Source organism: Homo sapiens, chromosome 15 (assembly GCF_000001405.40).
Source record: "Homo sapiens chromosome 15, GRCh38.p14 Primary Assembly".
In the NCBI taxonomy this organism is placed as follows: Eukaryota; Metazoa; Chordata; class Mammalia; order Primates; family Hominidae; genus Homo; species Homo sapiens.
In genome coordinates, this window is record NC_000015.10 from 94,167,344 (window position 1) to 94,169,159 (window position 1,816).

At 41.7% G+C, this 1,816-nt stretch overlaps 1 pseudogene; it reads left to right on the top strand.

The window, feature by feature from the left end:
- On the top strand, positions 925-1,605 carry H3P40 (H3 histone pseudogene 40; annotated as a pseudogene).

A 1,816-nucleotide genomic window follows, 5' to 3' on the forward strand; every position in this document is an offset into this window, starting at 1 on the left:
TGATGGTTTTATACAGGGGAGTTCCCATGCACATGCTCTCTTTTTTTGCTTGCCACCATGTAAGATCTGACTTTGCTCCTCCTCTACCTTCTCTCATGATTGTGAGGCCTCCCCAGCCATGTGGCACTGACTCCATTAAACCTCCTTCCTTTATAAATTACCCAGTCTCAGGTATGTCTTTATTAGCAGTGTGAGAACAGGCTAATACACACATTAAATAATTATGCTGTTTCCTGCTCATTTGGAGTGGTATACACATAAGGGCTTTCTCTCTTTTTTTTTCCCCCAAGGCTTTAAAAAGGGGTATGATTTCAACACTCACAGGATTGGAGAGGAAGTTTTATTCGAAGACGGTAAAACTCTTAAACTCACAGCCTTGGTTCTAAACCTATGGTCTGAATTCTTAGAGTCATTATTCACGTTGTCATTCTGAGTCTATGAATATTACTAAAGTTTTACCAGGCCCTGTGCTAGGCTTTGGGAGGCAGAGCGGTGAAAGAGATAGGTAAGGCCTCTGCTTTCCTCTTAATCAAGCCAGGGCCCCTGCTTGCTCGCCATCAAGAAGAACCATATCTACAATACATAAATCAGTGCAGTAGCTAAGTTTAGATGTTATGATTGCATTACCAAAGGCAATAAGACAGGAGGTGGCCAGCGCAGGCCTCCATGAACTAAACTGTATCGTGTGTGTGTGTGTGTGTGTGTGTGTGTGTGCGCGCGCGCGTGTGCGTGTGTGTGTGTACACGTTTCCTCTTAAGGGTACTGACAGAAAGATCTTTTTACCTGCGTACCTCTGTTAATAACTAGTTCTAAACTATGTTGGAGAATGGGTATGGATTCTACAACCAGATTAAATAGATATGGCCTATCTGACAAAGCAAACCTGAGATTCTATTTTCAAAACAGTACACCTCAATCATAAAATCTCTAATGCCAGCACCACCTGTAGCTCGCTGAGCCCCAGCTGAAGGAGAAGGGGATAAGTAAGGAGGTTTTTAAGACCGTGGCTGGTACAAAGCCGACTGCCCACAGATCAACCAGTGGCAAAGCCCCCAGGAAGCAACCGGCTGTGGAAGCTGCTTGCAGTAGTGCGCCCTCTCCTGGAAGGGTGAAGAAAACTCATAATTACAGGCCTGGTTACTGTGACACTCCATGATATCAGACCTTATCAGAAGTCCTCCAAACTTCTGATTTGCAAACTTTCCTTCCAGCATCTGATGCACGTAATTGCTCAGGACTTGAAAACATCTGCGCTTTTAGAGCGCAGCTATTGGTGCTTTGCAGGAGGCAAGTGAGTGAGGGCTATCTGGTTGGCCTTTTTGAAGACACCAACTTGTGCACTATCCATGCCAAATGTGTAACAATTATGCCAAAAGTCGTCCAGCTAGCACATCTCATACGTAGAGAAGGTCCTTAAGAATCCTCTATGATGGGAACATTTCATTCTGAGAAAAATTCTCTTCTTCTTGTTATTGGTGGTTCTGAATGTTAGATATTTTTTTTTCCATGGGGTCAAAAGGTAACTAAGTATATGATTGCCAGTGAAAAAACAGAGGACAGAAACCAGATATTGACACTTTTTTTCTGTGTTCGTTTGTGTGTGAACTGTTAGTATAAATGCCCTGCATTTATGTCCCTACATGAAGCATTAATGCAAGTCAAACCTTTCAGTGAAGAAGTCTCAGTGGTTAAACTTTATAACAATTAAGAAACCTGTTATTTTTTTTCTGAACAATGCTAGCATTTGGATTTTTTAAAAAAAAATAAGTAAATGTTTTATTGACAGCAACTAAATGGTGTTTGTAGCATTTTTATC